Raw genomic sequence first — 25,169 nt, forward strand, 5'->3', positions numbered from 1 at the left:
CCCAGTGGGTGTGAGCACCCCCACTTTAGAGATGAAGTGATGGAGACATTCAGATGTTTAACCCCTTGTTCAAGATTCCATACTTGATAAATGGCAGATCAAACTCCCAACATAAAATGTGGGTCATTTCTTTATTATTTTATTTGTATTGGTTAACAATGATCAGCCATGCAAGAATAAATGATTATTGTAAAATCTGCAAACAATGTAGATATGTAGAGAGTCCCTTCCTTGGAGCTTGACCTTGTCAGACAGGTATAGATGAGTGTTCCGGGGCAGCCGTAAAAACTGCCAGAGACTGGGCTGCTTATAACAGAAACGCATGGTCTCCCAGAAGCCCACATTCAAGGTGTCCAAAGGCCTGGCTCCTGGAGGCTCTGGAGGAGAGCCTGTTCCCTGTCTCTCAGCTTCTGCCGGTTGCCAGCAAGTGTTGCCGTTCATTCACTCCAGCCACTGCCTCCATCTGCACACAGCAAAACAGCGTATCCTGAAGTGCTCAACCTTATAGCCATTATTTTAAAATATCCGGAACACACAGGACCGTGGGAGTGGCTGTTGGAGAAATTTTCATGAAGGAAGAAAGATTACAACTAAGTTTTAAAATGCTAGTTTTGTTTGTTTTGTCTTGGAGAGGAGGTAAAAGTGGGAGTAAAAATAGGGAGTTTGGTGTAAGGTGGGAAAAGCAAAGGAACCCCGCATGGATGGGCTGAAGGGTGTGATGGGAGAACAGTGAGAAGTACGTTTGGGGAAGCAATTGGAAATAGTAGCTAAGCTTAATCACAATCTATCAAAAGGGACTTGTTGAAGAATTAATGTGTGACTAGGAACAGGGAGGTTATGGGCTTGTCAGCTCGACAGCGGGCACTCAGTTCCACTAACGAATGATGCCCGTGTGGACAGACAGAATGATGGACAGGCAGATGAATGCGTGGGCTTTATGTGAAACAGGTCCTCTTGGTTGTTGACAAGATACTGTTTTAAAGTTCCATTTTGCCATACTTCGAACAGCTTGTCATTAGCTCAATTTAGCCACATGTAAAATCACTAAGGCGGACTTCCAGAGTTCCCACATGAAAATCAAATGTAAACCAGCAGTGACCTGCTTCAACACCATCATCGGAAGTCAGAAGTTGAACTCTTTTTTGATGTTTAAAGCCTGCATAATATTCGCTGTATTATTATTCAGCATATTACTATTTCCTTCGTGATGGAAATTTGGTTTATCCCAATTTTCTATTCCATCAAAACACCGCTACATAGAAAATCCCCATGCACATATTTCTCCTAATTGTGGAAATATTTTACATAAAAGACTCTAGACATGGGATGAAATTCCCAGGTTATTGGAATTTTAAAATAGATAGGTACTTCCAAATTGACCTCTTACAAATTATATGAATTCGTAAGCTTCCAACTGTTATGGAGTTACCCATTTTGAGAAATCTGTGCTAAAAGGACCCAAACAATGCTGATGACAATGATCAGGATAATAAGTACGCTGGGAAGACAACAAAATGATTTAGATCTTAGACAAGTCATTCTAGGTGTCTCCACTGTTTCAGTTCTTGCGTTCGTTCATTCTTGTGCTTTTTCGTTTTACCAAATAAAATAGCTCCTTGATGTCATAGGAATCCACGCTATGCTTAATGAGTATTGGTTAGTAAAATGCCTATAACTAGTAATCTTCATCTATGCAATTAAATATTAATTCATAAAACACTTCAAATGTAAACAATAATTAGTAAATGAAAAGTACATAATACCTCAATTAGAAAAAAATCACTCCATTAAAAAGACATTATTTGTGTGATAAAAGAGATTGCTATTTTTGTATTTTTCTACAAGGTTAAAGAAAACTAAGTCAACTTATACAAGTGAATTTTAAAAGACTTTAGGGCAGGCGTGGTGGCTCACACCTGTAATCCCAGCACTTTAAGAGGCCGAGGAGGGCAGATCACCTGAGGTCAGGAGTTCGAAACCAGCCTGACCAACATGGTGAAATCTCATTTCTACTAAAAATACAAAAAAATTAGCCCAGTGTGGTGGCATGTGCCTATAATCTCAGCTACTTGGGAGGCTGAGACAGGAGAATAGTTTGAACCTGGGAGGCGGAGGTTGCAATGAACCAGGATCGCACCATTGCACTCCAGCTTGGGCAACAAGAGTGAAACTCCATCTCAAAAATAAATAAATAAATAAATAAATAAAATAAATAAAAGCCTTTAACCCAGAATGCTGAGTAAATTGGCCAAAAATGCTAACCTATGCATTTCAATACTATAGGAGTCGCATGGGTAGAAATAACCAGATGAAATACTTCTGGTATTTCACCTTCCCAACCCACACGAGCCAGTGTTTTTCTGTGAATAACAAAAACAGCAGAATTTACTTGCCTCACCATAAGAGGTTACCACTTCTGTGTGTTCCCCCGAAACAGGTGGTGGCTGGGTGAGAAGGTGGACAGCACTAGGGCAGGAGATGGGGGCTCCAGTATCGTGGGTGAGCTTCCTAAACCTCTGCAACTTTCAGCCCCTAAATGGGATGAGCCATCAGAATTTTTAGCACAATGCCCAGAACAAAGTAAGGATTTGACAAATGACGCCTCTCTCCACATTGTTCTGTCATCAGCCACCGCATCCTGTACCTCCAAGTCCACTGGGCTCCGGCTGTTTCCATCACATGGAGAATGACTCAGAGCCTGGCCTCCAGCCACCCTCCTGGCCTTTCTGCTTCTCACTCTGCCACTGGCTCCTCATGGACCACCAGCCTGGGTGTCCTCAGACATACCACACACTTCACTGTGGGAGTCACGCAGCCCTCACTGCTCCTTCGCCAGGGAGCCACGGGGCTTTCCTCCTCAGGAGGACTCTGCAAGCAGCTGGATGAAGGGCCCTCCCGTCTCTCATCCTTCCTTAATTTTTGTCACAGTTCTCCTTCCTTCCACTCAGTGCAGCGCACACTGATTGATCCTCCATCTTCCCCAAAAGACAGGAACAGCATGAGCAGTGGAGAGTAGATTCCAATGATAGAAAAAATAGTCAGTGATTTCTCATTTCCATTGATCATCAATGAAGAAAATGTATCCTGAAGGTCATGTACCTCCTATGGGACTGCTGCATCCTCAGCCTCCTGAATTTCAGCCCAGCACCTTCCTCCCCAGCACAGCAACAGGTCAGCCCTTACCAGCATCCCTCTCTTATTGCCTTTGTGCAGAGCCAGCACCAGGGCCAGGGGAGGCCTTGGGATTGTCCCTCCCCAACAATCTGTGAAACAATCCTTTATGTCACCAACAAAGCACAGCCTTCTGCACTGGTGGTCAGTCCCTCTCAACACCTCTGTCACTGTAAAGCTGGCAGGCAACCCTCCAAGGTTGGCCTTCCCAAGCACTGCACCTCTAGGTGACAGAGCACGTCCTTACCTTGAAGCCTGGGCGCCCAGTCTATCCTGTCCAATGAGCGAGCTGTGGAGAAGGGGGGATTCCGGGTTAAGGGGAGACTAGCAGGGCTCCTGCTTTTATGTTGCCCTGTTGGGAAGGCTATTAAAGAAACACAAAGTGCTAAGCAGTGAGGATAGAACATGTTTTCATTATTTCAACCAATACATTCCACAGATGGAATAATAAGAAATGCTACAACCAAGCTAACTGAATCCAACAGCATATCAAAAAGATAATCCACCATGATTCAAGTGGGTTTCATACTAGGGATGCAGGGATGGTTTAACATACGCAAGTCAATAAATGTGATACATCACATCAATAAAACTAAAAACAAAAATCACATGATAATCTGAATAGATGCAGAAAAAGCCTTTGACAAAATCCAGCATTTCTTTATGATTAAAACCGTTCGTCACAATCAGCATAGAACGGACATACCTTAAGGTAATAAAAGCTATCTATGACAAACCCACAGCCAACATTTTCCTGAATGGGGGAGAGTTGAAAGCATTCCCCCTGAGGAAGGGAACAAGACAAAGATGCCCACGTTCACCGCTTCTCAACACAGTGCTGTTCACTACAGCATTGGTTATAAGAGCAAGACTGGAAACAGAACAAATGGATACCCATAGCGGGGTGCTTAAGTAATTTTGGGAATAGTCATGGGGTGCAGTACTTTATAGCTCTGAAACAATACAATGGATTTACATTTGAAATGTGGAATGATAACTAAGGTGCATTGCCCAGTGATATATGCAGAGGTGCAGAGGACTTTGTGTAAACACGATCACACATCAGCCTGCATTCCAGGTGCATGCTTCTATTTGCACATAGATTGCAGGGATGATATGCAAACAAAAATGTTGACTTGGTGTTTGGAAGTTCAGAGTGGAAGGGAAACTTCCTTGCTAACCTTTTATGATATTTAGAGTTTCTAAATGTGAATACGTAATACATTTAGAAATCTTAGTTAATAAGAAAAGCCTCTGTTCCTGGCCTCTTGCTGGCACATGTCAGGTGGAAATGGGGCTGTCATGCTAATGTGTGCAAACTGAGAAAAATCCAAGAATGGGAGTCTGCTTTTTTCATCATACAAATAATTGTTAATAGAAACAGTATGATAATTGCTCATTGATATACCATGCATATTCTATTAGATAATAATAAATTTCTGAAATTTGAACTATACTTACACATGGAAATTGAAATATATGGATGAAACATTGTGGCTTATATAGGCAATTGTTTTATTGGCATTTTACAAACTGATCATCATTCCTCATGGCACGGGTCCATGTGATATTAAGTAGCTTGTTATGCTTGGGAAAGGCAGTGATGACCACAAGAATGACTTCAACTACTAAAGTACAATGGAGATTTCAACAATGTTTTGTTTAATATTTAAATATTTCATTGTGCTCCCAGGCTTTTTCTCACCCTAATAGCTCTCATCCATATCATGTGGGTCCCATTAATACAGATACCTCCGAATGCACCACTCTTCCATTATATCCAGTCAATTGCTGGTTACCTTGGGCCTACAACTGGGGGAGGGCAGGGGCTGCTGGCCACCTCCTCATCTACAGTAAGAGTCAATGAGCAGTTAAGTGGATACTGAAAACCATTTATCCTGCTGGAGTGAGAAATAAATGGTTTCTTTCAATAGCGTAGTAAAATGCATCTTTTCCAAACTATTTATATGACTCAAGGCCCATCTCAATTTCAGATGTGGTTAGCCTCAATTCCTGATTCTCACCAAGGTGTGTAATGTCATCCACGGCCCAGTGCAGAGGAACACAGGTGCTGCCGTCAGACTGCCAGGGTCCAATCCCGCCTCCTCACTCACCCCGGGAGATCCCTTTAAGCCAGGAGTCAACAGTGAGGATGGAAACATGAGTGCTTTTTAAAGTCCTGAAAGTTCAGAGGCAGACTGTCAATTTCTCCTCCACCCCTGGGCACACACCAGGAGAACTCTGTCTCCAGGTTGAAGGAAGTGCCTGTGAGAGAGTTGTGTCCCTCAGATTCTGTTCACCACAGGTGACACTCGATGCAACCCCAAACCTCTTCTGCACAATCCCAAGGGGTGCTGACTAATCCAACCCAAAGGCTGTGATGTTTGGCAGAGGCAGAAAAGAAAAGGCCAGGTGTTCTGGGAAAGACCACCTTTAAATATCACAGCACCCTCATAGCCCAGAGAGACAGTTCTAACTATTATGCCAATAAACCCGGAAAAGACCAAATCCAATATGACACATATTTCCTGTTTCCTTTTGATTTCATGCCCCCTCCCTTAACCTCCCAAGCAGCATGGATACCCCGAAGGCCCCTGGGAACTCTCTCCAATTGGATCTTACGTGGAAAGTAGTTACCTACCTACAAATCCCCATCATCAGATATGCTCTCCACAATCAAATCTTTAGAAACACAAACACCAGGATAAGTCATTAGAGAGAGGCCCACCCACTCCTCCCACCCTAGCTGAAGCCATGGTGCTTCGCACAGGATCCCCTGGTGTTTCCTCTGGGCTCACAGATATCCCTACAGCCTCTCTGGACATTGTTTTATACTTGCAAAATCATTTGCTCTCACCAGACTCCAAATCCTCCTTCCCAAAAGGAGCCCAGAATCAGGTTTCTGTACCCTAGAGATGGCGTTTTTTCCTCAGGAAGTGAGTTATTTCAGGGTAGGTATCATTCTCCAGTGTCAATGGCTCCTGCAATTATAGAAAAGAAAACATTAGGAGGGTGAAATGATGCCATACACGTCACACAGATCTGATAGTCTCTCGACAACTTGAGAGAGAAAATAAGAAGGGGTATAGTGATTGAGTCAAAGGTCAAAGTCCCCCAAAACTGGCACGGAAGACACCTGTGGAAAAGACAAGACCTTTTCCCACAGAATTTATCTTTAAAGTGTATCTAGATTGGCAGTTTCACAACTCTTAATCCATGGGGGAAAACTGCTGTGGAGGGAAACACCTCTGCATTGCAGTGGATCGTGGATGCTGCCATCTACCACACCCCAGTGTGCCTGGCATGGGTTGGTGAGAGGCTGCCAATCAATAGCACCACACCAAGGGAATTGCAGATGTCATAAATAGTCCACATTGGCAGATGTTCATGTCTACATTTGATTAAACTGCAGATGACATCCATAATGCACACTGGCAGATGTTCATGTCTACATCTGATTGGAAAGAAGCCAGGAAAGTAACATTTCTGTTCAAGACAAAGAAAAGTGTCTTACATTGGCAGCATCTTCTTTTTTACAGATGTCTTGTACAGTGTCCTCATTAGCAATGTCATATACAGCGTCCTTATTAGCGAATTCGTATACAGCATCCTCATTAGCGATGCCATATACAGCGTCCTCATTAGCGATGTTGTATACAGCGTCCTCATTAGTGATGTCGTATAGAGCGTCCTCATTAGCGATGTCATATACAATGTCCTCATTAGCGATGTCATATACAGCAACCTCATTCGCTATGTCTTGTAAAGCATCCTCATTAGCGATGTCATATACAACGTCCTCATTAGCGATGTCGTATACAGCGTCCTCGTTAGTGATGTCTTGTACGGTGTCCTTATAAGCAATGTCGTCTACAGCGTCCTCGTTAGCATGCCTTGTGGGTGTCATTAGCGATGTCATATACAGCATCCTCATTGGTGATGTCTTATATGGTGTCATTAGCGATGTTGTGTACAGCGTCCTCGTTAGCAATGCCTTGTACAGTGTCCTCGTTAGCAATGTCATATACAGTGTCCTCATTAGCGATGGCTTATACACTGTCCTCATTAGCGATGTTGTGTACAGCATCCTTGTTAGTGTGCCTCGTACGGTGTCATTAGCGATGTCGTATACAGCGTCATAATTAGCGATGTCTTATACGGTGTCATCATTAGTGATGTTGTGTACAGCGTCATCGTTAGCGATGCCTTGTATGGTGTCCTCATTAGCGATGTCGTATACAGCGTGCTCACTAGCGATGTCTTTTTTTTTTTATATATACTTTAAGTTTTAGGGTACATGTGCACATTGTGCAGGTTAGTTACATATGTATACATGTGCCACGCTGGTGCGCTGCACCCACTAACTCATCATCTAGCATTAGGTATATCTCCCGATGCTATCCCTCCCCCCCCCACCCCACAAGAGTCCCCAGAGTGTGATATTCCCCTTCCTGTGTCCATGTGATCTCATTGTTCAATTCCCACCTATGAGTGAGAATATGCGGTGTTTGGTTTTTTGTTCTTGCGATAGTTACTAGCGATGTCTTATACGGTGTCCTCATTAGCAATGTCGTGTACAGCGTCCACGTTAGCGTGCCTTGTCGGTATCATTAGCAATGTCGTATAAAGCGCCCTCATTGGTGATGTCTTGTACGGTGCCGTCATTAGCGATGTTGTGTACAGTGTCCTTGTTAGTGACGGCTTGTATGGTGTCCTCGTTAGCGATGTCGTATACAGCGTCCTCATTACCGATGCCTTGTATGGTGTCCTCATTAGCGATGTCGTGTACAGCGTCCTCGTTAGCGTGCCTTGTACGGTGTCATTAGCGATGTCATATACGGCACCCTCATTAGCGATGTCGTATACGGAGTCCTCATTAGCGATGTCGTGTACAGCGTCCACGATAGCGTGCCTTGTCGGTATCATTAGCAATGTCGTATAAAGCGCCCTCATTGGTGATGTCTTGTACGGTGCCATCATTAGCGATGTTGTGTACAGTGTCCTTGTTAGCGACGGCTTGTATGGTGTCCTCGTTAGCGATGTCGTATACAGCGTCCTCATTACCGATGCCTTGTATGGTGTCCTCATTAGCGATGTCGTGTACAGCGTCCTCGTTAGCGTGCCTTGTACGGTGTCATTAGCGATGTCATATACGGCACCCTCATTAGCGATGTCGTATACGGAGTCCTCATTAGCAATGTCGTGTACAGTGTCCACGTTAGCGTGCCTTGTCGGTGCCATTAGCAATGTCGTATAAAGCGCCCTCATTGGTGATGTCTTGTATGGTGCCGTCATTAGCGATGTTGTGTACAGTGTCCTTGTTAGCGACGGCTTGTAGAGTGTCCTTGTTAGCGATGTCATATACAACGTCCTCATTACCAATGCCTTGTATGGTGTCCTCATTAGCGATGTCGTGTACAGCGTCCTCGTTAGTGTGCCTTGTACGGTGTCATTAGCGATGTCATATATGGCATCCTCATTAGCGATGTCGTATACGGAGTCCTCATTAGCGATGCCGTGCACGGCATCCTCGTTAGCAATGCCGTGGGCAGCATCCTCGTTGGCGATGCCGTGGGCGGCGTCCTCCTTGGCGATGCCCTGGGCGGCGTCCTCGTTGGCGATGCCCTGGGCGGCGACCTCGTTGGCGATGCCCTGGGCGGCGTCCTCGCTGGCGATTCCGTGGGCGGCGTCCTCGTTGGCGATGCCCTGGGCGGCGTCCTCGTTGGCGATGCCCTTGTCGGCGGCCTCGTTAGCGATGCCGTGGACAGCGTCCTCGTTAGTGATATCGTGTGAGGCATCCTCGTTAGTGATGTTGTGTACGGTGTCCTCATGGGGAGCTAGAAGAACACAGAGTTAAGGTCAGTGCCCTGGTAGTGGAGACTGTGAATCACCCAGGGGCTTGCTTGGTGTGGTGCATGGAGGTGGCTGATCACAGCATGGGCCAAGCTGATGCTGGGACATCCTCCCAGGTGGACCTGCACTAGTGAAGCTAAGGGATGTGGCTCAGAACACTTTCTGCAGTGGGCATCAGTTTCCAGGTTCAGGTATGCATTATCCAGTGAAGTGGGGAAATATAAAAAATAAAAATTGACAAATTCATGAAAAGCCTTCCATGAGTGCAAGTGTGAGTTTTTTATCCACTTTACATTCAGTATGCATTCACACATACAAAATATTTTTACAAGAAATCAGAAATTTTAATTTTTGTCAGTTATGCGAAATCTAACTTAGCTGCCAACATAAAGATTCTATCTCATTTACTTGGTCTCGAGAAAATCTAGCACATAGTAAGTAGACCAAAATGTTCATTAAATGAAAACACAGAGCAGAGATAGGGGGGCTGCTAGGCAGACTGGGTTGCACCTGATTACCTGGATGATAATTAACTGCACAAAACCTCGGTCAAATTAATATTGAAACTGCCTTTTGCTTGGGCTCGTTTCCCTTGCGGAAGAAGGATGACCAAGGAGATGAACAGGAAAGAAATGAGAAACAGAGGCCTTTGCCTAGTAGCTAAAGGCCACCTTCTATAACACGAAATAGCCTTGAACTCTGCCGTGATTTAGTGACAGAGTTCCCTCGTGTCTTCTACCCAGGTTGAAGTCCAGCAAAATTGCGACTGTCCTCTTTACAACTTGCGAGACCACACTGCTTCTGCATTTGCCTGTTGTATGTATGAGATTTACACTTGTTTTAAAGCAACATTTTGTTTCAGTTGGGCTGGTGGCCATACCCGGCACTAGCCAGTCAATAGTGAGATGGCTCCTCATGGAGGAGGCTTGGCTTGAGGCTGAGGGTCTTTAACCCACATATACAAGAGAGTTGCCACTAAGGGATGGAAGCCAGGCTAATAACCAAGTGCCACACAGAGTTCCTATCTGTCCCTCCTCACCATTTTTGGCTGGCAGGATTTGAGCATTTTAGGGCTTGGGAAGATAGTATTACTAAATCTACTAAAATACATCACCCATCCTTATAGACTTTGGCCAGTTGCTGAGCAAATTAACTTCACAACTGAAGTGGGCCACACTGGCCTTTGTGGTCCCCCACTCCTCTTAGAATTTGTGAGCGTGGGGCCTACTGGAGGGTGGGAGGTGGGAGGAGGGGGTGGATCAGGAAAAATAACTGATATTAGGCTCAATATATGGGTGATGCAATAATCTGTACAACAAACTCTCATGACACACATTTATATATGTAGCAAACCTGCACATCCTGCACATGTACCCCTGAACTGAAAAGTTAAATAAAAAAAAAAAAAGGATCGGTGAGCTGAGCCAAACACCTGGGGATCTTTGTGCTTTTGACACACTGATGACTATGCCTGTCCGTGGGGAGATGAACCCATAACTGCCCTGGGTTGTGTGACCACGGAGGCCACTTTATGATGATGGGCAGTGTCTGGGGCCTTTTGGGCTCGGTGCCTTAGGGTTTATACATGAATGCTGGACTCCCTGTGTGGTGGTGAACACCCCATGACTAAGTGCATGTCAGCGTCAGCACTGGCCCACACTCCTGGGTTCGTGTTTTCACTTTTTCATTCAGGAACTCGGGAGCTGGGGCCACTCCCTTGGCCCTTCAGGTTCTCCACCTGAGCAGTGGGGATAATAAGGCAGACCCGGGGATGGCTCTGGTGAGGGTGGAGGAGTCACTGTACAGAGAGAGTAGAGCGGGGGTGGATTTTATTGTTAGAAGTGGACACTGGTGATTGGGTTGTATAAATGGGAAATCTCTCCTGAGAAAACACACAGCCTCACCTGTACAGAAACACACACATTCACACCACACGATGCAGCCTCACACAAGACACCACCAATCCTCAAGCACCCAACTCAGCACCACCCAAAAGGGAGCACAGCTGCTTCCTCAAAATTTGGCCATAATTTTTCCCTGGGGAATTCAGGTTTTAAAAAAACACTTCCCCTATACTTATTCCTATCACAATCCCAGGATCAGGGTGGCTCTTCACATTGAAACCAGGCAAGGATGCCACACCTTTCTTGGCATCCAGATTGTTTTCTTGGTAAGTGATTCCAGAATACTTACTAGATTCACGCCTCAGAGGGGCCACCTGCACCACCTGCAATACAGAAACAAAGCTTTTTGAGGGGTATGTCATGTTGTGGATTGTTTGCACAAGGCTGTGTTTCTCTCAATGAATATTGAAAACTTGATCAGAAAGTGTAGTCAACTTCAAGGCCTCCAAAACAAGGGTAGGATACACACTGGAAAAGACATCAGCTTCTGGATGGCGGATCTCTCAGGTCCACGTAGGTTGGCAAGTGCAAAATACTGAATCCAAGGAGAAGACATTGCTTCCAAGGACAAGGACCCCAAGGATACAGTCTACAACCTGAAGCCATCATAGCTAAATGCCATTTTGGATTACATATCAGTTGCTAAGAGTCACTTCTTCCTCCCCCTCAGAAAACTGCATTTAATACCTGTCATGGACATTGTCATCTTTTCACATGTAAAGTCAGTTGAAAAAGAAAGACAACAAGAAAGGAACATTTCTATTTCAGAGAAAGCAAGGCAACCTTACCTTCACGTTGACTGGCCTCTCTCCATCTCCTCTGTCCTTGTGAACTAGAGACTCCTCAGAGGCTAGGAGGACACAGAGCAACAGTTAGTCATAGATGCTTTTGTTCATGAGCTATTCAGGGAGCTCTGCTTAATGTGGACAACAGGACAGTGTGTGTGGATGTGTTTCATTAAAAGCACAGCTTGAGCTCCTGCTAGAAAATCCTCCCTCGTGGAAAGACAGGCAAGAACGAGGAGCTAAGGAGCAAGAAATAGAGTCCCTGGCATTTTGCTGATGGCAACTTAAGGCAATGGGAATGAGTCAGTCTACAAATGGTACTGAAGCACATGCTATAGTTTGATGAGAGTCCCACTGCTCACACTGTGAGGTTTGAAACCCAGCTAAATGGTTTTCTAAACCTGTAAAAACAATATTACTTGCAGGATTTATGTCCCAAGACTACTTTTACCTCTGAGGATCCACAGTGGCTGTCACTGCAGTTATTATGTGTTTTAGCATTTTGCACTTGAATAAAAGCAAAGTTTAATAGACAGATTGGATTCAATTCTAGGCAAAACAGTCTATGGTATTTATTCACTAATCCTTTGTTATAACTGCTGATGGGAGAATTAGAAGTACTGAAATTATATCCTTTAAAATTAATTAAAGCATAATTATTAATCACACAATATTTTTTCATCCAGGCCTCCTTTTCTTTGTCATGCATGCATATTAATTGAGGATGGAGAATATCTACGCTTGTTCAGGCCAGCCAACATACGACAGTTTACTTCAAGACAGGAGACATGGGTTGAATGCTGGTATGTTTTAACTCTGCAGCGCAAACAGTTGCAACAAGTGTGGTGAACTAATCACCAGATGGCCCTTTGCTGCCTTATTTGTCATTGTGCCTTACATGTAGCTTGCAGGATTTGATTACGCTTATGTTTTGTGGTGATCATACTTTCAACTATTCCTAAAATACTGCTTCAGTCTTATCTGTTTGGGGTCAACTGCTGAGGATTTCATACAAATTAATGAAGTTTGTGAATCTAAAGTTCTACACAAAGGGGGAAATATTTGCAAATCATTTATCTTGTAAGAGACTAAAATTTAGAATATTTTTAAATATATTTAAGATATATTCAAAAATCTACAGCAACAAACTAACTAAATAAAAATCAGACAACTCTTTAAAAATGGGCAAAAGACTTCAACATATATTTCCCTAAAGAAGATATAGCCACAAATAGTAGCACAGGAAAAGCTGCTCAGGATCATTAGTCATTAGGGAAATGCAAATGAAAAACACAAGCAGCCACCAATATACACCTACTAGGATGATTTAAAGGAAAATAAGTGTGAACAAGGATGTAAAGAAATTGTAACCCTGATACATTGATGGTAGAAATGGATAAAGTTGCAGCCACTGTGAAAAACAGTCTGCAGTGGCTCAGAAGGTTAAATATAGAACCCCTGTTGGACCCAGGAACTCTACTCTTAGGCACCCCAAAGAATAGAGAACAGAAATCAAACAGATGTTTGTATACTAATGTTTGTAGCATCACTTTTCACAGGAGCCAAAAGGTGGAAATAATCCAACCATCAGTGAACAAATGAATGTAATAAAAGCAAGGTGGTCTGCATGCAATGCTACATCATCCATCTGTAAAAAACGAACATCATTTTGATAGATGATACAACATGGGTGGACATTGAGAACATTATGCTTAGTGAAATAAGCCAGACACAAAAGGAATATATTGTATAATTGTAATTACATGAAGTGCCTAGAATAGTCAAATTCATACAAGAGAAAGTCGGATAGGAATCACCATGGGCTGGAAATAGGGGGAAGGCGCTATATTGCTTATTGTGGACAAGGTTTTGTAAGAAATCATCAAAATTGTGGGTGTAGATAGTGGTGTTGGTTATGCAACCCTGTGAATATATTGAATGCCACGGAGTGCACACTTTGGTTAAAAGGTTCAAATGATAAATAATGTGTTATATATATTTCCCCACGATAGAAAACATGCACAGCCAAGCCCAGATGCCAGTCTTGTTAGCTGCCTTCCTTTACCTTCAAGAGTGGGCTGAAGCTTGTCCAATCTTTCAAGGTTGCTGAAGACTGTATGATGGAAGTCATCTGCATTGGGAAAGAAATTAATGGAGAGAGGAGAAAACTTGAGAATCCACACTACTCACCCTGCAGGGCCAAGAACTCTGTCTCCCATGCATTGCTGACCCATCTCAGTATTTCCTGTGACCACCTCCTTTTTCAACTGAAGACTTTGCACCTGAAGGGGTTCCCAGGTTTTTCACCTCGGCCCTTGTCAGGACTGATCCTCTCAACTACTGACCATTTCACCTCCATTCATGTCCATGCCACATCAGGCTGTGTTGTCTAGATGGCATGAATCTACCCCAAATGTCCCTTTCTGGAGGAAGCCACCATTATGCTGTACCTCCAAGCATAATGATACGTCCACACACACCAAGGCACCTCACTCATGCAAGGTGTGTGTCCTCTAACAAAGTTTCACGCTCTAAACCCAGATAACTTTTGAAACCCAAGTTCTGTTGATTCCCCTACTTTGGGTGCTCCATAGATGCTCATTTGTCTACTAAACACTGCCCCAGGCAATTAAATATTCCAAAGTGACCAGCAGAATTTTTATGTTAATTCTGACATTGCATTGTTAGTACAAGTGTTTTTCCCCCTTCAAATTTATGTCTTTGTTACTGATAAATGTAACTGATAATGCTTTTTTCAGCTATGTTGCCAAGCATATTTATATAAAAATATACTCAGATTGTTTTCAGAATTTGACAAAGATGATAGCAACAACGATAATCTCATTTGTCTTATACTAATCTTTATGTGTTACTTTCATCATTTCTTACATATTGGGGCCTACCATACATTGTACGGTGAAATTAGTGCTATGCATCATGGTAGGAATATAAATTGGCAAAAGTAATTTAGAAAATAGTTCCCTTCTTTCTTAAAAAAATTAGGCTGGGTGTGGTGGCTCATGCCTATAATCCCAGCACTTTGGGAGGCAGAGGTGGGTGGATCACCTGAGGCTAGGAGTTTGAGACTAGCCTGACCAACACAGCAAAATCCTGTCTCTACTGAAAATACAAAAATTATCCAGGTGTGGTGGTGTGTGCCAGTTGTCCCAGCTACTCGGGAGGTTGAGGCACGAGAATTGCTTAAACCTGGGAGATGGAGGTTCCAGTGAGCCGAGATTGTGCCACTGCACTCCAGCCTGGGTCTCAGAAAAAAAAAAATTTTTTTTGACCAAAATGTCATTATGCATTACATGACTGTATATGAATGCTCAAAGCTACATTACTCATCAAAGAAAATAACAAAACAATTAAATGTCCATTAACTGATAAATGAATAAACACTATCTGTATGAATAAACACAGCAGACTATGAAGGAAAACACATGACCAGCACGTGCTAACACGTCAATTAACTTCAAACATAGTATGCTAAATGAGGGAAGTCAGATTCCAAATATATATATATGTCCATTTCTATAAAGCAAGTGGGAAATTTATGGAGATGGAATGTCACAGCAGTATTGCTTAGGGCTGGAGATGGGAGTGGGGATTAACTGCCAGTGCGCAAGAGAGAACTTGGGTGAGGGAAACATATTTAAATTAGATCGTGGTGTTGGGTGCACACAGTATCAATTTAATAAAGCATCAAATTCTAGACCTTTTCAGTGGGCAAACTTTATGGTGGGTTCACACCCAATATAGGTGTTAAAAATAATGTTACGGAAATTCTTGTCGGGTTTTTAACAAGCCAAGAGATATGCTGTGAAAGCAGCATTAATTCAAGTGGTTGTCACAGGTCACTTAAAGTTAATCAGATAGTTGTCCTACAAATATAGGGTGAATGTTATTCATGAATTTCCTGAATCTATTGCAATAATCACATTTTTTTCCATTAAACTCTTGAGGTAGCTAATTTTATTTATTGCATTTTCAATGTTAATCTACTATTTCATATGTTGAGATTAACTCACATTAGTCAGAATTTAAAGTATTTTAAAATATCACAGAATTTAATTTACCTTATCTGGTTTTGGTTTCAAGACTATAGTAGCCATTTCATTTAATTGTACATGTAGGGTATTCTAATTTATGGAAAACTATTACATTTTCCTTGATTTTTTTTTTTTTAGAAATTACTTCTAGGGATCTATATGGTAGAGTCCATGGAGAATTGTTTTAATTCTTCATTCATGTCTTCAGTGGGTATAGGATTGGTCATATTGGTCATAGTTTTCTGCTCGGATTTCAATAAGAAACTTGTGGAAGAACCTGAAGGGTGGGATCTTTGAGGGAGCCTAAGACAGAGCAAGACAAGCTAAGAAGGAGGGCAGTGCCACAGCAGAACTGCCATTGATGCCCCCTCGCCTAGATTGCGGAAGAGACATCCAGCTGTAGACACTGAGGTGCAGGAAAACAATGGAGCACCATCAGAGAAAGCAGTGCCCAGGAACAAGGAGGCACTGATGGTGGCAAGGGGCAAAGACAGCTGCCACGAGGCTGTTCACATGAGGGTCTCAGGCTGCATAGACACCCACACCAGCTGAGGGGTCCTGGTTTTCATAAAGTGTGTGGCTCAGCCAGGCCACCAACAAGCAGTTCACAAACAGTAGTAATACGACACTTTCCAAAGACCTTACTTGAGTAACACGGTGATCCTCACAAATTTCCAATCAGGATGGTCGCACAGTTCCTCCTGCTTTAGGACTCAGAGCCTGCCCGTGGTCACAGTGGGTAGGTGCAGACTCTGAAGATGCACTTTGGTCAGAGACCCTGCTGAACTCTGTCTAATGAGGACCTCTGTCCTGTCTGCTGACCACCGGTCAGAGGTGCAGGCTGCAGTGGGGAGTAAGAATGCCACCTTCTCAATGTTGGGAAAACTCCCTGCCAGAACTGAGAATGGCCCTTTCTAAGCAGAAGGCAAGCTCAGACTAAAGAAGGAGGCCGAACACATCAGGTTGGCAGATTGCCAAAGATTCACTCAGGGAGAGCCCACATCCTGGGCCATCTTGGGTGGTGGCAAGATGAGGTAGACGACTGCTTTTGCAACACACACCTGACAACAAAAAATCAACAACTGTAAAAGAGCCACAAAATCCCCAAATATTTGCAAATTAGCAATGCACTTTTAAATAACTGTTGGGTTAAAGAAGAAGTCTCAATAGAAAATTAAAAGTACTTTTAACTACATTAAAAGAAAATGTGACTTGGCAAGATTTCTGGATGTAGCAAAAGCAGTCCTTAGAGGGAAATCTATAGCATTGGATGCAATATACTAAAAATCACAAGACCTAAAATCAGTAATATCATGTTTCAATTAGGGAACTATAGAAAATAGAGGAATGCAATGGAAAGCAAGTAAAAGTAATAAACAACATCACAGAAATCAATAAAATTAAAACACTGAAATCATCAGAAAATCAATAAAACCAAAAGCTGGTTCTTTGATATGCTCATTACAATGAATGAATTGATATGCAGGCTAACCAAGAAAAAGAAGATAACACAAATGACCAATTTCAGAAATAAAAGAGGAGCCATCTCTACTGAACTGTTAGGCATTAAAAGGAATATCATGAACAGTTCTATGAGCGCAGTTTGATAACCTCAGTGAAATGTATCAATTCCTTGAAAGGCAATCTTCCCAAGGTCATGCTAGGATCCTAATTTGAATAAACTTATGTCTATTAAATAAGTTGAATTCACATTAAGAGCATTCCGAAAAAGAAAGCACCAGGCCCAGATGGTTTCTCTCATGAAATCTACCGAATTCTTCAACAGGTGAATAAAAAGACAAAAATTCATTTAATGCAATATTATTTGGTGATTTAATGTGCCATTTTTTGCCATTAAGGCATAAAAAAGACATGAAAGCAGCTAAAGCGTACATCAATTTAGTGCAATAAATTCATCTGAAAAAACTACATAATATATGATTCCAACTATATGACATTCTGGAAAAGGCAAAGCTGAAGCGATAGTAAAAATATTAATAGTTGCCAAGGTTTCTGGAGAAAGAGGACAGAGATTAATGAGAAGAGAGGATTTTTAGGGAAGTGAACATTTTCTTTATGAGACCATAAGGGTGAACATAATGTTTTAAATATTTCAAAATTCATATATATGTATAACAGAAAGAATGAACATTATGCAAATGCAGACTTCAGATAATAATGTGTCAATATTTTCTCATTATTCTAGCAAATGTACCACAGTAATGTAAGATGTTACTAATAGGTGAAATTAGGAAGTGAGGGTGAGGAGACAGAATAATATGGGAACTTCGTGTATTATATACTCAATTTTTATTTATTTATTTATTTATTTATTTATTTATTTATTTTGAGATGGAGTTTCACTCTTGTCACCCAGGCTGGAGTGCAATGGCATGATCTTGGCTCACTGCAACCTCTGCCTCCCGGGTTCAAGCGATTCTCCTGCCTCAGCCTTCTGAGTAGCTGGGATTACAGGCGCCTGCCACCACACCCGGCTAATTTTTTTGGATTTTTAGTAGAGATGGGGTTTCACCATGTTGGCCAGGCTGGTCTCCAACTCCTGACCTCAGATGATCCGCCTGCCTTGGCCTCCTAAAGTGCTGGGATTATAAGTGTGAGCCACCACACACGGCCATATGCTCAGTTTTTATGTCAATTTAAAACTCTCTAAAGAAATATATTAATTGAAAAATAATAATATAGCACCACTCTTTCAGGGAGATCTATGCTTATGTTTAACAACCAGGTAAGTTCTAGACATTAGCTTGAAGCATTGTCTATCATTAAACATGAACCAAAATTGACTTTTAAGTAGATATTTACTTTTGTGGTGGTAGCAATATTTACTGACCAGGCAAATTAGAATCCTGACACATTAAAAAATATGGCTTAGTCTCTTCATAGTTTCCTCTTACATATGGGACACTGAATACTCCCCGCAACTGCAATTCTTGAATCAACTTAATTAATGAACTTCCACAGTACCTTCTTGTGGGTACCTCTTCTTCTTTACCCGGGAGCCATGAGGTCTCCTACACTGGTTGGTGTGCACAGCATATCTTCTTGTATTCTCTATCAGAGAAGATGCTGGTTAATGCATTGACAATAGATAGGGCTGTTGACATCTTGCTGACAGAAGACCAGAGGGAAAATAGTGATAATCTGTTCTAAGTTTAAACTTATGATCCTTTTTTTACAGGCTTCCAAGCAGAGCCCACTGAATCAAAGTTGGGTTTCAGGAAGATCACGGAGTTCAGTGAGCACTCAACACCTCTATCAGACAGACTGCGTGGGCAGTGCCTTCCTGGAGAGGGGAACACAGCCGGATGACTGTGAGTGCAGGGCTGGTGCAGAGTGGGGGCCCGGATTCAAATTCCACTAAGCCATGTGGACCTGGCAAGCTCATGTCCTCCCTCTGCCCTCAGTTCTCTGCACTGTCATAATGTAATTTTAGCAATACTTTTTAGGCCCTATTTAAGCCCTACTTCTTAGTATCACAGTACAGGGCTAAAAAATCACTAAATACAGGAAAACCTTAGAGAGGACTGGTACTTCAGTAATGTTCTCTAAGTGTTTACTACATGCCAGGAGGAATAAGCTGGACACTTAGCAGTGGCGGAATATGGAGGGGGAACTTGGATGGCTCCGGGGCAGTGGAGCATGCTTTCCTGTTCGGCTTTTCCGTGGGCATGACGCCTTATGGTTTATGGAGAACATCAGCCCTGCAGGGGGTGCAGAGGAGGGGCTGTGGCTGAGATTTTACACTTGAGGGTGCTGACATTCAGAGATGATAAGTGACGAGCAGAACCTCAACCCCGCTGAGTGAAGGACCTGAGATGGGAAATGTATTTGGTTCCCTAGAGAGAGAGATTCCTGAAAAACTGCCACCTCTTCATCACGCCCTGTGCCACAGACCCAAGAGACCCCTCACTGTCTTTCTCCAGTCCTCCTAGCCCAAGGTGTGTGGGTGGACAAAGGTGGTGCTCTGGAGGAAATGCCTGAGATAAGGACAGGTCCTTAATGATAAAGAATTCTCCTTCCTCTTTCAGATCCTTGACCTCCCAGTATGACAGCTTAAAGGCTGTCATCTCTGTGGCCTGCCTCCCCTTGCCCTTCACCCTGCCAGCTGCCTCTCAGTGACTGTCTCCTCCAGTGACTACACTGAGGGACCAGGGACTGCTTGCCTCCCGAGGCTGCTCACACCTTCTGACACCGCAAAATGATTGTCAAAAATGGGTCTGCAAAGAGTAACTTCCCTTCCACTGATCAAACCTGAATATGCAAGCTACTGTCAATTAACTGGAAAAGTGGCCGTGTGGGCTGGTGCTTTGGTGATTTAATGAATTAAGTCTGCAAGCCCCACTGCCTCCTTGACTATTGATCAGAGCTGCCTGCAATAAGGTCTGGCTAAGAATGGGCAGTGGCTGCACCAGCTCTGGGTAAAATTTGACCTAAAATGACCAATCTCATTCACTAACCTCACCATAGTCTTATGGGTTCAATGGACCTGTCCAATCCTTTGCTCTGTTCTCTCCATCACCTTCCTGTGTAATTTTCCTCCACCACGCACATAATAGAAACATGGCACAGGGGAGCTAATCGCCTCTTTTATCCCCCACTTCAGGCTCACACATAAGTTTATAGTAAAAGCCTTTTCAAATGACTGCTTTAACTGCTGCTACAGCATGTGTCATCAGTTGAATGGAATCTGTCACGTGACTTTAAGCAACCCTTTGCTGAGAGACAAGATTCAATACTAGGGACAGTATTCTAGTGTACTACATCATTGATTTTATGTTATGAAGATCATCATTTATTGAAAATGTATAAATAATGAAGCCCAGCCTTACTCTTCAACGCTGTGTGTGTAAATCCACTGAGTGTGCTGACCCCCACGCTTGTACCCACCTGCTAACACAGAAAGGGTCCACTCAGAAGGGAGGCACAGCTCCAGCACTGAGGCTGTCCACACCAGCTTCACAAGAGGGTTGCCACAAGGACGACGGATACCCGGATAACAACCAAATGGTAATTTGAGTACTTAATGGTCATGATCCCTAAAGTGTGTAGCTCAGAGGGCTTGTGGTGATAACTCCATCAAGACTCTAAAGCATCTCCCCAATTCTTACTGGACTTGATCCATGTCTTGAGGAGACCCAGCTATGACACGCAGGCACCACGTTGTCCTACTTAGTGCCTCCCTTAGTGTTTCAGAACCTGTGATTTGATCAGAAACATGGGCTTTCTATGTTGGTTTCACACTAAGGACTATGTGACACCTGCAGGAAGATGTCTACATAGCTACCTGGATTATGAGATCATGAGGCTGTCTTATGTGAGGGATGGCGTTTGGGATCTCTGCAGGCGTGGGTAATTCCAGGCATAGAGGGTGCTGGAACTCCCTTGCATGGTGAATAGTGATCTCTTCACTGGCTGATAAATAGAGGTTGTAGTTCAGGCCTTCAACATTAGCACCGTATGAGGAAACATTTTGACTCTTCACTATGCAGCAAGTGAACCAGAGCACATTTATTTATGTGGCTTAGTTTCTCCATCTGGCATGTGGGCTCAATAAACAAGCTCACAACATATGGGCATGATGATGATGAGGTGTGAACTAATGTAAGTAAAGTATGTGGTCTGATTTGTTAAATTAAGAAAAATGGCACTGAGAGTTGTGCTGGGTAAACACAACATTTTTTTCCTGGGGGAAACACAGATAGACACACATTCACAAGCAAATCATGCAGACTTGCACACAGACCACCTCACCCCACCCCCGCCCTAATACACACATACCCACACACAACCTAATGTGAACATGTTCCCAGAAACTATACATAGATAAAAAGAGTATGTCACCAGGAAAACCAGTTTCTTTTACTATACCCTACATCCTCATTCCCACCAGATGTCTTGGATCATGGAGGCTCTCCGGACAAAAGCCAGCAGTTAAGCTCCAGATTTCCTGTAGAATCCTTTTCTAACAACCAGTGAGTGATTCCAGAATACGTACCATTGAATGTGCTCCCTGAAGTCACCTGTAATTAGAGAAGGAAAACACTCTGAGAATCAGGCTATGCTATGGATGGCTCACACAGGTCTTTTGTTCACTTGGAAACTCTGGGTAACCAAGATTGGAAATAAGGTTCAAGTCAAAAGCCCCAACTCTAGAGTAGAGTTCCCTTAGGAAAGCACAGGAGCTTTTCTTGAAGAATGTTTCTGTCTAGGTAATTTTTGAGTAGCAATTGCAGAATTCTTATCTAAAGTGGAAAGCTTGTTCCTGAAGAAAACATCCCTTAACACCCAGTGTACTATCTGACACTGCCAATTTTGCACGTCCTCTGGAATCAGGTGTCAGTTGGTAAAATACACCTCCTCCATCCCCAAGGAAATATTATCTAACACCTATAATGTAGTGGAGAATTTTCCCATAGCTGATATCAACTGAAAAATAAAGGATCCAAGAAAACAACATTTACATCTTAGGCAAAGACAGGCTACTTTACCTTGGTAGTAGAGTAGGGCTTCCTTTTCACACGCTTTTTGGAAGGCTTCTTCGAGTCACCTAGGGGATGTGGAGGGACACAGCATGGCTGTCAGTTCATTGGCAGTGCTACTCATGAATGACTCAGGGACTGGAACTTAGGGGCGTGCCTGGTTAACAAGCATGGAATGAGCTTCTCCTGGACCATCTTCTTCACGGACCAAGGAAGGCAAAGAAAGAGCAGCAAGGAAATGAGAGTAGAGCCCTTGGCTTTCCAGGTAATGGCAAATGAAAGCAACGTGAAATAATCAACTCCAAATGAACAAATGCTAAAACACATGCTACGATTCAACCACAGCATCCTGTCACTTCTTCAGACCCTTTAAAAGCCCAGCAGGACTGCCACTACCTTCTTGACATCGACCAAGTCCCTTTCAACCTCCACAGACCCACATACACTGCTACTGCATTTATCATGGAGGGTATAGGGTTCTGCCCTGTTTATGTGTGAATTTTTTAAAAACTAGATTTAATACCATGCACCAGCATTAATTGTATTTATTTCTTTTCTTGGTTATGAAAATAATCAGTCAGGCATAGTGGCTCACACCTGTAATCCCAGCAGTTTGGAAGGTGGAGGTGGGTGGATCATTTGAGGTCAGGAGTTCGAGACCAGCCTGACCAACATGGTAAAACCCCATCATTGAAGATAAATGTTTTATATCCATGGTTAACAGATGAGATGACCATGAAATGAACACCAGTGTACTGGGTGGAGCAGCTTATCTATTCAGTCTTCGGCACTAAAACCTGTGAAACAATATCATCTTGCCTTATTTACTAACAAATACAAGTGCCTCTAAACTTAGACAGTTTCCAAGTCATGGAACTGATGAGCACTTAGCTCCTGCAGAGAGCTCTGGATGATGGGTCGGGAGAACAAAGACACAATACATCAAAACAGCATTCACAAGTAAACAGGTTTTCAAAGCCCTCTACATGCAAATTTACACAATTATCCTTTTAATTTTTATCTTCATATATATGTACATAATCTACTTGCTTCTGAGTATAAATCAAACTGTATGTTCTTAGTTAATAGTCTCTATAAATTCACTCTATTTATCTTTCTGAGTTGAAATACTGCATCTCATTGGATAACAAAAAAAAAAATTTGACTAAGATTACACTGGAAAGGTGAGTAGGTTGGGTGATTGACTGTGATTGACAATTCCATGATTCTGGATAACTTCCAAAGCATAAAAATAAATGTGTGTTTTCTTTCACACGTAGACAATACACATGCTTATTACTTTAAAAAATTAATATGTGCATGGAAGTGACTTACTACAAATATATTAAAGTAAATACACATTTCACAAAAAAAGAAGAGAGGAAGGGAAAAACATGTTAAAAACAAAGAGAGTTACATTTTATTGTGTGAAAAGCCTCCAACGGATCCTTACTACTGTGGCTTTGTTCCAAAGTTTTGGAAAGTAATGATTTCATAGGTTCTTAATTGGGTTAAAAACAGCATTAAAATAGACTCTGCCATATTCTCCCCTGGGGAATAACTTAATCTGTGGGGTGGGGAATGGAACGTTGAAGGATGCAGGATGTAAAAGGAAATTATATATATATTATATATATTATATATTATATGATATATATAATATATATATTATTTATTATATATATTATATGTTATATATAATATATATAAATAATATATAATGTACATAATATATAATTATATAATATATATTATATATTATATATTATATACATAATATATAATTATATAATGTATAATATATATTATATATAATATAATATATATTATCTATAATATATATAATATATTATATATATTATATATTATATTTAATATATTATATATATTATATATATAATATATTATATATAATATATATAATATATTATATATAATATATTAAATACATTATATATATATTTTATATATATATATATTTTTTATATATATATATATAATATATATATATAATTTGGGAATTTGGGAATAAACTGAATCCCAATTCACACTGGGACTACACCAGCTGCCACCATGCCTGGCTAATTTTTTGTATTTGTAGTAGAGACAGGGTTTCACTGTATTGGCCAGGATGGTCTTGATCTCCTCACCTTGTGATCCTCTTGCCTTGGCCTCCCAAAGTGCTGGGATTATAGGCCTGAGTCAAGATACATATTTTTTAAATGAAGAAAAATTTGAAAGATACTCTGCTTGGTACAATAATCAAATATATAAATTGAGGAATAAAACATAATCATGAAACATATTTATAACTGCATATGGAAAATACAGAGGCTAATTTTTTAAATAACATATTTTGAAAGCATTAACTAGTAATTTGAAAAGATCGCATTTGACAGGCCAGTATGAACATACCTTGAATGCAGCCACACAGGTTCCCCATAAGAAAAATCAAAATCAGGGAAAATGAAACCACAATGGTTCAATCTGCTCTGACCTTTGAAAAACTCAGCACAGGTAGTGGCACTTACGACCAAGGGCAGGAGATCCCTAATCCCATCACCATGGCGATAGGGCATAAACATTCCAGGGTGAAGGCACAATCCACACTGTGAGGTCCAACTGCTGCCATGCAGACAGGTGGGCTTTTACAAGTACAGGAAGGTCATCAAAGGCTCAGTGTTTTGTTTCAAAAACTGAATCCCAAGCCCACACATTATTATGCTGGCTTCTTAAAATAAGTTGTGAGATGGGAAGTAGGGCACCCACAAATATATATATATATAATTATATATAATATAATATATAGTATATATATAATATATTTAATATATTATATATATATATAATTTGGGAATTTGGGAATAAACTGAATCCCAATTCACACTGGGACTACACCAGCTG

At 41.9% G+C, this 25,169-nt stretch overlaps 1 long non-coding RNA gene across 2 annotated transcripts; it reads right to left on the reverse strand.

Moving 5' to 3' along the window:
• Positions 1–112: 112 nt before the first annotated feature.
• Positions 113–24,851, reverse strand: FAM230J (family with sequence similarity 230 member J). 2 transcript variants are annotated; one of them, NR_165634.1, is made up of 12 exons: positions 24,681–24,851; positions 22,275–22,333; positions 21,782–21,806; positions 18,751–18,837; positions 13,779–13,844; positions 11,717–11,778; positions 11,218–11,251; positions 6,686–9,008; positions 6,080–6,152; positions 5,813–5,853; positions 5,196–5,350; positions 113–552 (listed from the first exon to the last, which is right to left on the reverse strand). It is a non-coding gene; the product is annotated as a family with sequence similarity 230 member J (long non-coding RNA). The 2 variants fall into 2 exon arrangements; NR_136569.2 differs by lacking the exon at positions 6,686–9,008 and having other exon boundaries at positions 5,196–6,152.
• Between the last annotated feature and the right edge of the window lie 318 nt (positions 24,852–25,169).

Source organism: Homo sapiens, chromosome 22 (assembly GCF_000001405.40).
Source record: "Homo sapiens chromosome 22, GRCh38.p14 Primary Assembly".
Lineage (NCBI taxonomy): Eukaryota > Metazoa > Chordata > Mammalia > Primates > Hominidae > Homo > Homo sapiens.